Here is a 13,252-nt window from a genome sequence, read left to right on the forward strand (position 1 = left end):
GACGTGGGCGAGCGAGCGCGCTGCTCCCACCCGGCCGCCCATTAACGCTTTCTCCCGCGGGCGCCGCGCTCTTGCCAACTTTCCCCTCCGTCCGGTCTGCGCGCGGCGCGCCGGGTGCAGGAGCTGGGGTGAGGGCGCCCCGGGTGCCAGCAGGGGCGCTGGGAGCTGTTTGGGCGGGGACGTAGGGCTCCGGGAGGTCACACAGCCCTAACAGGACAGTGGGAAGGCGCGCGAGCCAGATTTGGCCAAACGCTAAGCTCGCTGCGGCCTCGGGCCCTCGGCCCACGGGGCCCCTCTCCCCGTTTGGGCTGCCCCACCCAGGGACGCTTGGGCCGGGCGCGAAGAGCCCGGAAATAGCCACCCTTGTCGTCGGCCCGGTTTCCCTCCGAGGTCTTAGTATTTCCCCCCTCCCCCACCCCCCAAGGCCTGTGGAGGGCGAGGCTGCTGCTCCAGCCAACCCTCGGAATTGGCTGCAGGGCGCTCAGGTCCTGCCTTTCTTCCCCTGCCCCTCTCCCAAGCCCCTCCGTGCTAAGCGGCCCAGTTCTGGGTTCTCTCCTGGTGCCCACGCTAGTCCCTAGCCGGCTCACTCTCAAAACAGCAGGCTGTGGCAGGGGCAAAGCCTAGGTCCGGGCACCAGGACCCGGGCAAGTGGGCGCGAATGGACCACGGTGATAAGCCGCCCGAGGACCAATGAGTCTGTGACCTGCCCGGGCTAAGGGGGGCATGCCCTGGTGGGGAGCCTGGTCCCAGCCGCCAGGGTTAGGGGAGGGCATGGGGGCTGGACCTCTGGCCTGGGGTCAGACTAGGGCTGGAGGGTCTTCCGCTTCTGCAGCCTGAGGCCAGGACCCAGTCAGGGAAGGTGCGCCTGCGTGCAGCTTGCCCTGCCCCTCCCTCAGGGAGCTGGGGGGCCCCTACCCTGCCCCCGCCACCTCGCCCCCGCAGCCGGGCACAGGTCTGTTTGTCATCCACAGAGCCGCTGCTCTGCAGAGGTCAAGACAGGCCCCGAAGGGAAGCTGGAGCAGCAGGTGACCGGCTGCCCAGGTCAGAGCCAGAAGGGACTGGAGGATGATGCAGCCCCAGGGCTCCTGGGGGATGAAGGAACTAGGGCCCTGAGAGGGCCACTCTCCCAGGCACTGGCCTGGCTGGGGCTGCAGACGCGCCCCCTGGTTCCCATGCTGCCCCCATTAGTGGCGATGTGCGGGGCAGGGCAGCCTCACTCCTACCTGGAGGATGTCCTTTTGGGCAGTGCCATGGGGTATTTGGGGCAATCCTCACATATATTTGCTTCCTTCCTTTATTCTACCCTCCTCCTCCATCATTTTTACTTCAAAGAACCATGAACTTGTTTCTTGTCATCTGTGGTCATGCAATGACATTTGAGATTTGTTGACTTGGACAATCTCTGAAAAAGTTATTTGCATCGTTTTCTTCAGCTCTCTCTGTAGCTGCGGGAAAGGGAACAGGCCTCTGCTTGCCTCCCCATTGCACAGGGAACCATCCTTGTCTGCAAGCCTTGCTCATCCTTCTTTTCCTCCACCCGTGGGGCTTCCACGGGGAAAGAAGAGGGCCCAGAGTGTCCAGCCCAGGTGCTGGATCGAGAGCTCCAGGGGCTCCCCCGGGAAGGACGAGGCTTTGGTCTCTGGCCTGCTCTGGCAGCAGGGAGGTGGAGTGGGCCGTGAGGCATGGTGCGGACCGTGCGTGTGAGTCACCAGTGCAGCCCATGGGCGGACTCTGGGGCACAGGGAAGGGGGCTCTGGTTCTAGGTTTCTACCCTCCAGCTTGCTTCAAAGCGTGGGGGACAGATGGGCGGGAGCGAGCGGGTGTGCCCTCCGTGTCAGATGGAATCGTCCTCCTTGGGAGGTGGGGAGAGCGTCTTCAATTCCAGCCAGAAGGAAGTTGAGGCCCAGCAGGCTCCACCCCGGAAGGGAGAGGAGGCCCCTCCGTGCCGCACTGTTGATCTTGGCAGGCCCTTCGGGACCAACAGGGACAGTGCGTCAGGACTGCCTGCAAGCTCATGTGGACTTAGGTTCTTGTTAAGGCTCAGTGTAAGCAAAGCGTATGTGCCTTTCCAACCTGACTTCACGCAATGAACTCCTTTCATAGGCACTGCGGCCTCTTCAACAGCAGCAACAGTGGCTAAGAGGCCCTGAAGCCCACAGATGAGGAGCTCAGGGTCACCACCCCCCAGAAAGGGCTCACTGCTAGGATCTTCGTAGCTCAGAGACTGTCAGGCATCCTCTGAAACAACCCCGCCTCCCATCCCTAGCGAGGCTCCGTGTGTGACTTTGTCCCCTTCCCTGGAGGGCAGGGCCAGCTGTGTCCTCCCCCACCTTGGTGCTCCATCCTCAGCACAGGTCCTCTGCACACTGCCAGGCCTGACCTTACCCTGATTTCATGACTCAAGCGACCATGGGCATCTGCAGCTGCCCTCTGCCCCTCAGCCCTTGACCTTGAGGGCAGGGGAGCTGCCCCCACCCTCCTGCTGAGTTTCCAGGCGCTCTGAGGAAAGGATGGAAATTCCCAGGTCTTGGCCAGGAGGCCTGGCAGGGAACATCTGTCTGGGGCCTCCAAGCGAGCAATCAATCCAGAAAGTCTGTCTGCAGCCTGGGCCACCCCTGCAGGGGAGTGTCCTCCAGGGCCGGCTGTGCCTGGCCTCTGCTCCGTATCCTGCTCCCCCCATGGATCCTCTTTCAATCCCTCTTTTGTTCTTCCTGCTGGCAGGGCCCCCAGAGTGCAATCTGAAATAGAAGTCTTTGTGCCCCCAGGGCTTGGCCACGCTGCCGCCTCCTCCTCCTCACCTGGATGCTGCTGTAGCATGCACAGGCATCTGGGGTGGAGAACGCCATCCAGGATTGTCCTGAGGCGTGGTCCTAACATAGCTCCCGGTGCCTGTTGTCACCCAGAGCCCCACAGCCTCATCTTCTCCACCCTTTCCAGAGACCCAGGAGGGGAAGGAGGCCCTTCCCCAGGCCAAGGGGGAGGCCTGGGAAACCTGTCTGAAGTGAGGATGGTCTCCAAAGCATCCTGGGCACTAGTTCACAGAGATGCTCTTGTCCTTGGAAGGCTGGTCCTGACAGCAGAAGGGCAGTGTTTGCAGGATGTAGCTCCCTAGGGGTGTGGCGTGGACAACAGTGTCTTTCATCTCTGGAAGCTCCCTGAGCTCCTGGCTGCTTCAGGGGGTCCCCAGCCTTGGGGCCCAGCCAGTGCTGCAGGGGCAGCCTGCCTTGTACAGCACAAGGGCAGACACAGTGAGTTTCTTTCCCAAGCAGAGTGGCATCTGGGTGGAGACGGCGCTGTGTGGCCAAGGATCAGTGGTGCGCATGGCTGCTGCAGAGTGACCACCAGTGGCTAGCCAGGGGTGGGAGCTTGAGCCCCTTTCACTCTCCTTCTCCTGCTGTCCTGTCCTTGTGAGGCTGGAATGAGGCCAAGGGAGCAAAAGTTGAGAAGTTATTTATTTCTCCTCTTTTCGGGATGAAGAAACGGTGTCCATAATACTGAAATGCATCAGCAATTTTAAGAAGGCCTCATTATTAAAAGCGAAAGGCTATTAGTTCCAGCAGTGTCTGCAGTCTGTATATTTAAATTTGAAATGTTTACCTGGCACAACCTCAAATCACGAGAACCCCAGCTAGAAGAGACATCCACATGAGATTAAGTTATTTTAAATTGTAGAAAAAGGCAGCAGTATGTACGACTGCCAAGTGACTTGAATATTGTTTTGAATTATTTGATGTAGCATTAAGAAAACCTTCAGTAGGTAGAGAAGAAATGTATAAGTGTATCTTAAATGCAATTACTCTTTGCATATTGCTATATGTCGTAGGAACCTCAAAAATACCGAACTATAGATGTAGGAGAGGCCCTGAAACCTGGGAGCTAATGGGGTCTCCTGCCTGGAATTTGCAGGGAGGTTACATTCCTGAAATGAGAATGTATGAGAAACAGCAGAAATGAGAAACAGCATCGCTGCTTCCTGAGGGCTGTTACTGACATGAACGATTCTCTAGTACTTGGATGCAAAATGTACTTTAATAAATAGAAGGTGACAAGACACCATGTAGCATCTTCATGGGTCAGTACGTAAATAGGAGAGAAGAAGAGGCAGAGCCCTCCTAAGGGTGACCTCCGTCAGCCCCAGGAACTTGGGCCTGGGTGCCGCCCTCAGGCTGAGTTCTCTGATACTAGTCCTGTCCTGCCACAGCACGGCATTGTGACTTCTTCCCTATACTCCCCAGCAGGGCTTTGGGGAGGTCCGTGATACTCACCTCCACTTCTGTGATGCCCAGAAAGAGACAGGAAGTGAGGGAACACGAGTGCACGTCGAGGCACCACGTTTTGTCGTTTGCGTTGAGGAGCTGGCCTCTGTCTGCACCTGGCTGCCCTTTGAGCCTGGGCGTGCTCCCTTTAAGGGCTCATCCAGGAACATGTGCCAGCGACCCAAAGACGGTCCTAAAAATTAAAGCGCACTCCCTGGTCTCACAGACACCTGGGGAGCATTCCTTATCCTAAGTTAAACCTCAGTGCTGGCGGTGGCAGCGCGCCTGCAGTGACCAGTATAATGCACCAGTCATTTAATTACCGTGGCAGTAAATCTCGCACGAATATCCTCCAGGAGTTAGCTGATTTTTATATAAAAAAATTTCAGAGTATTTCTTGAAATTCAATTAATTGAAGGCCCCAGATAAAAGGAACACATTGTTAATGGCTATAAAATAACCCTGAGGGAGGAGACGGAGCGCAGAGCCTGACTTCAAAGTGTGGTAGAAATACTTACTGTCTTACTTTAAAAGTATTCAGATCAATGAATCAGTTAAAATTACTTATACGCTTAGCAACCTTTTCATTGACTGTTTGAAAATGACAGAAAGAGAAGCTTTTATTGTCCATGATATGAAAGCTCCGGAGGAGAAACTGTAGTTTTGCCACTTGGTCAGGAGCAGCATCAGGACCAGACCTGGAGGCTCAGGGCTTTGTGAACTGGGAACGCCTCTTCCCTTTCCTGCTAGGAGGTTGTAGGAGGGTCCTGGGGCTGTCACAACAAAGAATCACAACTGGAGGCTTTGGCAACAGAGCCTCGTGTTCTCCCAGTCCTGGCGGCCAGAGGTCTGAGATCCAGGTGTGGAGAGGGCTGGTGCCTCTGAGTCTAAGGCTGGGACAGAGCCTCGGCTTTTGGCCAAAGCCATTCAACAAGTCTGTCTTCTGCCATGGTGGCTGCCGGCAGACTGTGGAGTTCCTAGTGGGTGCATCTCCCCAGCCCCTGCCTGCATCGTCGCAGGGCCTTGCCCCTGTGTGTGTCTCTGTGTCCATACTTCCCTGTTTTATAACGACCCCGGTCATCTTGGGTTGAGGCCCATCCTTCTGCAGTAGGACCCCATCCTAACGGATGACATCTGCAGCGACCTTGTTTCCAAATAAGGTCTCATTCTGATGAAATGGGGTTAGGACTTCAACCCATGAGTTTTTGGGGGACACAATTCAACTCAGAACAGAAAAGTCCCCTGTGATGCCACCTCTGAGGCAGAGTCCATTTTTTTGGCTTGAACTCCCTTCGTCCCTGACTTCCCAAGGGCTCCCAGCATCCCGGCAAGCCCCGCACAGCCCTGTGGGTAGTGAGGCCCAGCATGCTCTCCTCCTTCCTTCCTTTCTGTTTTATCGCTGTCCGACACGCTGCGCGGTTGATTGGCTGTCCTTGCCTCCCTCCTCTGCTGAATGAATGCTCCCTGAGGGCTGTGTGTTGCATTTCCCTGGGACAGTGCCCTGTACCACTTAGTGGGCGCTCAGTGACCATCGCATGAAGGAGGAAGTGTATGTGGCATCTCCAGGAAATGAGAGCAAAAAAGAAAGAAGCAGCCGCACCTCCGTAAGGCAGAGACTCTCGGGAGTCATGGATGGGGAGCCTGAGACTGTTCATTCAACGGGTGTCTATGGAGTGTGTGCATGTCCCGGGCACTCCCGCTGCCTCTTGGATACATCGATGAAGGGACAGTAAGCAGGAGCTCATGGGCTCTCAAAAGAGACACATAACACTATCAGCACCATGAGCGAGTGAATGGGCTGAGCACCTCAGTGGCTGGATGAACGAGCGATGCCTGGCATCAGCTGTCTGTGGCTGCACAGCAATCTAGCCTCACCACACAGCACAGGCACATCCACCTGTGTCCTGCTTGACGTCCTGGGCCCCGTGCTCTCTACCCAGCCTATTCTCTAGATTCTGTCCATCCCTGCACAAGCTGGTGGGATTTTTACTGAAATTACTTTCTGGAGAAGTTTGTGCCACTTCCTCGGCTTTAGCTGGGGTTCACTGTGTTAGATTACATACGTACTGCAGGTCTTTCTGAGATGAGCCTTCTGTCTTAACCTCCTGCTGAGACGGCTGAGAAACAACAGACCCTTCGTGTGACCAAAATTCTCCGACCTTGGATGTTTCTGAGGTCTTCTTAGCTCCACCTTGCCTTTTTCACCAGATGACGTTTTCTGACAATGCTTTAAAGTCATCTCTGAGCTTGAGTCTTTTGCCATCTGAGGGCACTGAACGTGTTCTGTTGCCAGTCCTGGCTCTGTTTTGCGCTCTCCTCTGGCATTTGACCAGAAGCAGCAGGAGGAACCATGTGGCGCCTTTAACATCTCGGAAGTCACCTGTGATGCTGCTTCCCGCATCACATCACACCACATCTCCAGCATCATTGCAGGAGGAGCTGCAGCCGAGTTTCTGCCACCCTGTGAAGATCCCAGCACCACGCTCTCCATTCTCGCACATCCTCTCTGCAGCATGCTCAGGTCTGCGTTTTTGCCCACATTCTGCTTGAGGTTCTTCTGGCTTTCTCTATCCTGGTCCTCAACCTTTTCTGGCTTCTGCCTGCTGCTAGCTCCCAAAGCCACTCCCGTAGCTCTGGGATTTGTTACAGCAGCAGACCGCTTCTGGTTGGTGCACTGCTTGTCTATTGCTGTATGACAGCGTTACAAGAAACCTGGCTGAGAAGAGCACACATTTCACATCTGATTTTTGTGGGTCAGGGATGCAGGCATGGCTTTGCTCAATCCTCCCCTTAGGCCTCTAAGGCAGCAATCACCACGTTAGCCAGGGCTGGGCTCTCAGCGGGGAGCTTGACAGGGGAAGGGCTCCTGATATGGTTTGGCTTTGTGTCCCTATCCAGATCTCATCTTGAATTGTACTCCCGTAATTTCCACATGTTGTGGGAGGGACCGGGTGGGAGATAATTGAATCATGGGGGCGGTGTCCCCCATACTGCTCTCGTGGTGGTGAGTAAGTCTCAGGAGATCTGGTGGCTTCACTTGGCTCTCATTCTATTTTGCTGCTGCCCTGTGAGATGTGCCTTTCACCTCCCGCCATGATTGTGAGGCTTCCCCAGCCACGTGGAACTGTAAGTTGAATAAACTTTTCTTTTGTAAATTGCCCAGTCTCAAGTATGTCTTTATCAGCTGTGTGAAAATGGACTCACATAGCAAATTGGTATCAGTAGAGTGGGGCACTACTGAAAAGATACATGAAAATGTGAAAGTGACTTTGGAACTGGGTAATAGGCAGAGATTGGAACAGTTTGAAGGGCTCAGAAGAAGACAGGAAAATGTGGGAAAGTTTGGGACTTCCTAGAGACTTGCTGAATGGCTTTGGCCAAAAGCCTGATAGCGATATGGACAATAAGGTCCAGACTGAGGTGGTCTCAGATGGAGATGAGGAACTTGCTGGGAACTGGAGTAAGGGTGACTCTTGTTATGTTTTAGCAAAGAAACTGGCGGCATTTTGTCCCTGCCCTGGAGATTTGTGGAACTTTGAACTTGAGAGAGGTGTTTTAGGGTATCTGATGGAAGAAATTTCTAAGCAGCAGAGCATTAAGATGTGACTCGGGTGCCGTTAAAGGTGTTCAATTTTTTTTTTTTTTAGCTTTTCTGTATTTTTTTTTAATATACTTTAAGTTCAGGGGTACACGTGCAGAATGTACAGATTTGTTACATAGGTATACACATGCTATGGTGGTTTGCTTCACCCATCAACCTGTCATCTACATTAAATATTTCTCCTAATGCTATCCCTCCCCTAGTCCCCCATCCCCCGACAGGCCTTTCACCTTCTGCCATGATGGTGAGGCCTCCCCAGCGACGTGGAACTGTAAGTCCAACAAACCTCTTTCTTCTGCAAATTGCCCAGTCTCAGGTATGTCTTGGTATCAGCAACGTGAAAATGGACTAATACCGCTCCCTTCCCTGCTTGGCTTGTGTGGTTGTCAGCAGCATTCATCCCCTTGCAGTTGCAGGACTGACAGCTTCAGACTCTTGCTGGCTGTTGGCTGGGGGTGTGCTCAGCTCCCAGAGGCCGTCCCCAGTGCTGGGCCTTGTGAGGCTGAGCATGGCTGCTGGGTCCCTTGCAGCTGGCAGGGGACAGACTCCAGACGGGCTCTGCAGTCTTATGTAACGTAACCACACAAATGTGCTTATGTGTAGCTGGTTAGCTTTGCCATATTCTGTTCATCACAAGCAAGTTGCAGGGAGGGGATCACCAAGAGGTGAATGTTGAGAGGCAGCGATCGCAGGCCACCCAGAAAGCCTGTCTGTCTCACTGAGAAACAAAGACATAGGAGATTATGCGAGGCACGAAGTGCTGTGGGAAAACCGAGGACACAGACGCAGGGCTCGGGCAGAGTTCCCACGGTGGGCACAGCTGGGCCCTTCCTGGTGGTGTTTTCTCTCTGTTTCTTGTTCCCAGCTGGTTCCCCTTGTGGTGTGGCCAGGGACCTGTGGTGACATGGTGGCAGGCCGTGCCGCTCACTGCGTTGGGGGCCTCCTGCTGTAAGCACTGAGTGGGACTGCACTTCCCTGCCCCTTGGAGCCCCTCTGGCCAATGAGATGTGAACAAGGTGACTGTGTCTCAGCCATAAAGAAGCCTTGGAGCCCAGTGAGAGTCCCCCTCCCCTTCCACCTGCCATGGCAAACAGGAGCATTTCAGACAGTGGAGACTGGCAGACGAGCTCCCTGAATGAGCTGGTGTGAACCGGAGCCCCTGGGACCTGGGCCGACACCTGTGAGAGCAGGAGCAGCTGCAGTTTTCAGCCACTGACAGGTGGAGATTGTTTGTTACAGCCACACGGTCTGTCCTACTGACTGATGCAATGATTCCTTTGCAAGTCAGTTTCATAATATTATAATTGCATATTAGGTGATTTACTGTAATATAATAGTAAATTGTATAATTATATACTATACTTGTGTATTATTATGTGATTACATACTGTAATATAATTTTCAACATAGAAAAAGCTACTAGACAGAAGGGGAATTGTGTGTCTCTGAAGTGCCTGTGGGCATTCCACCTGACCTTAAAGAGAAAATGTAATGTAAGGACAAAACACACAATGCCAATTAAAGACCCCATATAGGAACCTGCTGACCCCCTGCTTCCACCTGCTGGCTGGCTAGGAAGGGGTGCAAATCAGAGCAGCCTCCTTGGACCTCGGAGCAGAAGCCCTTTGTGGAGCTGGGTGGAAACGCCCTGTGCTGGGCCACCGCCCCTCTACTCTCAGTGAGCGAGGAGTGGCTGGAGGGATGCACAGGAGCTGCTCTGCATTTGGGCTCTGCCTTGCAGTAGAGTCTGTGCCTTGTGGCGCAGCGGGGCTGACCTGAGGCAGCCGCAGTGGAGATGGGCCAAAGAATCGGAGGAGGGACTGAGTGGACTTGGTGAATGGTTGGGTGCGGGGCTTGGAAGGAGACATCAGAGAGGATTCCTGGACTTCTGGCTGCGAGGGTGGGAGGCAGCTGGTGGAGCCACGGACACAGTGAGAGTGCATAAACGGCCACAGGTGCCCTGCCCGACCCAGGGGAGTAGGTGCCTCAGCAAGGTGGGGTTCCTGCAGCCGTGTGGGGCTAAGGGGCCCCGGCCTTGTGCGGGCCTCAGGGATGGCTCACCCAGCATGTTTCACTGTGTGTTACATTTATATAGGAAGGTGGCAGTGGGGACTCTCCTCGGGGAAAGAAGAACAACCTTGTAAAGGTGTCCTAGTGTAGTAAATTGCTAGAGTTTCCCAAGCAGGTCTGTTCTGCGTTCTTTCACGTGCGATGCAATGAGATAATGGTGATAACATCACCGTGGATGTTGGTAGGGTGAAGTGGATGACACCTGACTTTCTGGGTGCAAAAGTGCACATGCTCCCAGAGCCACACATGCCCAGACGCCCGTGCTGTGTGCTGGGCTTCGGGTTTTGGGCCATGGGACCCCTTGGAGAAGGCACTCCTGCCATGGGACTCCCTTGGAGAAGGCAAACCTGTGTCTGCCGGAGCCTCAGCTGGCAGCCGGCATCCAGAGCACTTCCTGCCTTTCCTCGGGGAGAAGGTCCATACAGGCCTGTGGGGGCTGGCTACTTCCTTGGGAAAGGCTGGGCATCCCTGGCACCCTGGACACTGGCCTCTGTTACACAGTTTGCATGCGCTTCCAACTCCAGCTCCGAAGAGGCTAGCTCCACGTCTGAAAGTCTTGTACCTGAGGATGTGTTCAACTTTCTTCATCTGTGAAACGGACTCCCCACGCACATGGGGACGTTGCCGTTGGGAATTATTCCTGGTGCCTGCCTGTGCCTGAGGGAGGGCTGGGATGGATCTCTGTGCTCCTCACCTAAAGAAAACCTCAGCCTTGGGACAGCCTTGCTTCTTGCACAACTCTGGTGCGGGCCCAGCCTCCAGTGGCCGGGGAGTCCCCGTCTCAGCCGGTGAGCACTACTCAGATCACTCTGTCCCCTCTCCAGACAGGGCGGCCTTGCCACAAGGTGAAGGAGCTGCCCGGGATCTTTCCTGCAGGACGTTCTGTCACAAGGAGAACGCGAGAGATGAAGTTGGTGAAGACTCTGCTTTGCAGGCAATCTAAAATCCTGGGTGAGTCACAGGCCCCTGGAGCAGCCGGCGCAATGCCTAGACTGCAGCCCCTCGGGCTGGGCTGTGTGGGAGGGGACTTGTGTGTCTCTGATGTGCCTGTGGGCATTCCACCTGGCCTTAGACTCCCAGCCTAAGCAGGTGCTCCAGGTTCCACCTGGCCTTAGACCTCCCCGTCCTTCGTCACCGAGGCACTGACGCTCAGGGCCCCTGTACACATCTCTGTGGGGCACGGGGAGGCGGAGTGGTTTCCCTTGTGCTCAGGGTGGATTGGAAGCCCTTCACCACCAGGAGCCCTAACTCTGGGGTTTGGGGCATCAGCTACTTGGCAGAGGAGGCATCTCATTTTGAATCCTCTGATCTTCATCATTTGGGAGAGCCCCCCACCCCACCCCACCAAAATTGGGAAAAGCTTGGTTTTCTGTTTAATTCTTAACAGGTTTTTGAGAACTGGGTGGATAGACTGATTTTCTTTGGGCTAAATATTTTGAAAACCATTGAACTGGTAGTTCGAACACTTGCATTTTGCTGAAATCTCTCTCTGCAGCCACTGTGAGACAGAAGCCCAGAGAGGAGGCAGAAACAGCCACCTTTATCCACAGCCAAACACGCTGTGAAGAGCGGAGACAGGTTATACAGGAGCGATGCTTTAATAGGAAACCCAGAAATAGAATGTGTTCAGTTTGATAATCGTTTTAAGCTTTTCTTCCCCCTGTAGATCGTGGTAACTTGGTTCAATATTATGAGCCATGGGTGGCGAGGAAGAGTGAAGCGTTATTGTCAGATAGTGGAGCGAGATCTCTTTATTGGCTGCAGATCCCTGAAGCCTGTGCCCAGCAGGAAATCAATGTCCATCTTTCTGGCTTCACTGCCCCCGGGATCCTCATTTTCCGCTTGTTTGTGTGTGGCTCTGATTTGTTTTTAGGTCTGATGTTGCCTGCTTCCAGAGCTCCATTAAAGCTTCGGTGAAGTCTCCCCCAGCCCACAGGATCATCTCGGCATTGACAGTGTGCCTTGCAAGGCTGGAATGCACTGGGCCGCTCCCAGACTGCTGCCTGCAAAGCAAAAATCCCCTCTACCAGGATGTGGTGGGCTTCAAACTATTGCTGTTCACCTGCAATTCCAATTTTGCATGGGTGTCTCTCTAGTCCCCTCCTAGTCAGCCTCTTGTGGACTATGGGCCAACATTGTGGACACCTCTTGAGTCAGTGGCCCCGAAGCTGCAGTGGGGTCTGGGGTCTGGACCAGAGCATGTTCTCAGGGCAGGCCGAGCCATGCTGTCCGGATGTGAGAAGGGAGCTGTGTCAGGCAGGCTGACAGGCCCTGGGGCCTGCTCCTGGGGCCACAGGGTTCTAGGGACCCATTACTGAGGTCTGGGGGCACCAACAGACCCGGCCTGGGTGGGTGGCCAGCAGCCCAGAGCCAGATGCAGCTGCACCTGCCTGAGTGTGTGATGTGATGCTGAGCTGAGATGCACGGGAAGTGAGTTCAGTGTTCTGGAAAAGATTCCTTCACTGATGAAAAGAGACAGGAAGGGAGGACCTCTTTTTCCCCTGGATATGGTCATATCTCGAAGCGACCTGGGGGACCAAGCAGGTGTTATGCCAGCAGGGGCCCCACATTGGCCAGAGGTGCCGGGCTCTCCCCTGGGACCATCACTTTGACTCTTAGTCTAGAAATTAGAAGTGTGGAGCTCAACAGCTGCTGGTGTCCCCTCATCTCACCTACATTTAAAAACCATTTCTCATGGAAAATTCCAAATATTTACAAAAATAGGGAGACTTATTGAATAGGGAGAAGAAGTGGGCACCCGTCAGCCAGTTTCAGCACTTACATAATTCATGGCCAATCTTACCCATTTTCCCCAACCAATTTGCTTTGGAGCAAGTTCAGGGTATCATATCTGTAAAAAAAAACACATAGACAAAAAACAAAACAAAACAAAAGAAAACAAAACTCATATGAATATCATATGTGAAAAGGCAACAATTCTTTTCATGTTTTTACATTTTTAAATTATTTCATTTTATTTTATTTGTGGAGACAGGATCTCACTATGTTGCCCAGGCTGGTCTTGAACTCCTGGGCTCAAGCAATCTCCATGCCTCAGCCTCCCGAAATGCTGGGATTACAGGTGTGAGCTACCATGCCTGGCCCAATAATTCTTTAATATCTTCAAATACACAATGTTTCCGTTTCTTTGCTTTTTGACAGTTTATTTGTTTTTATGTTTTATTTTTAAATAACAGGTTTCTTGAGAAACAATTTGCATAACATTTACTCTTTTAAACTGTACAATTGAGTGATTTTTAGTACTTTCATGAACTTGTGCAACCATGACCATAGATTGCAGAACAATTTCATTACCCCCCAAAAA

At 53.5% G+C, this 13,252-nt stretch overlaps 1 long non-coding RNA gene across 1 annotated transcript, besides 1 other annotated feature; it reads left to right on the top strand.

Moving 5' to 3' along the window:
* Positions 1-89: 89 nt before the first annotated feature.
* On the top strand, positions 90-13,252 carry CTD-2194D22.4 (uncharacterized LOC101929081). The gene is made up of 4 exons (NR_109912.1): positions 90-128; positions 972-1,041; positions 10,804-10,878; positions 11,801-13,252. It is a non-coding gene; the product is annotated as an uncharacterized LOC101929081 (long non-coding RNA).
* Positions 2,064-2,864: an enhancer, noted in NCBI's record as "H3K4me1 hESC enhancer chr5:1889419-1890219 (GRCh37/hg19 assembly coordinates)". NCBI's record gives its function as "activates a minimal SCP1, AML or CMV promoter by ChIP-STARR-seq in primed H9 embryonic stem cells {active_cell/tissue: H9 hESC(primed)}" and the evidence as "EXISTENCE:reporter gene assay evidence [ECO:0000049][PMID:30033119]".

The sequence above is a fragment of the Homo sapiens genome, chromosome 5 (genome assembly GCF_000001405.40).
Source record: "Homo sapiens chromosome 5, GRCh38.p14 Primary Assembly".
NCBI classification, from domain to species: domain Eukaryota; kingdom Metazoa; phylum Chordata; class Mammalia; order Primates; family Hominidae; genus Homo; species Homo sapiens.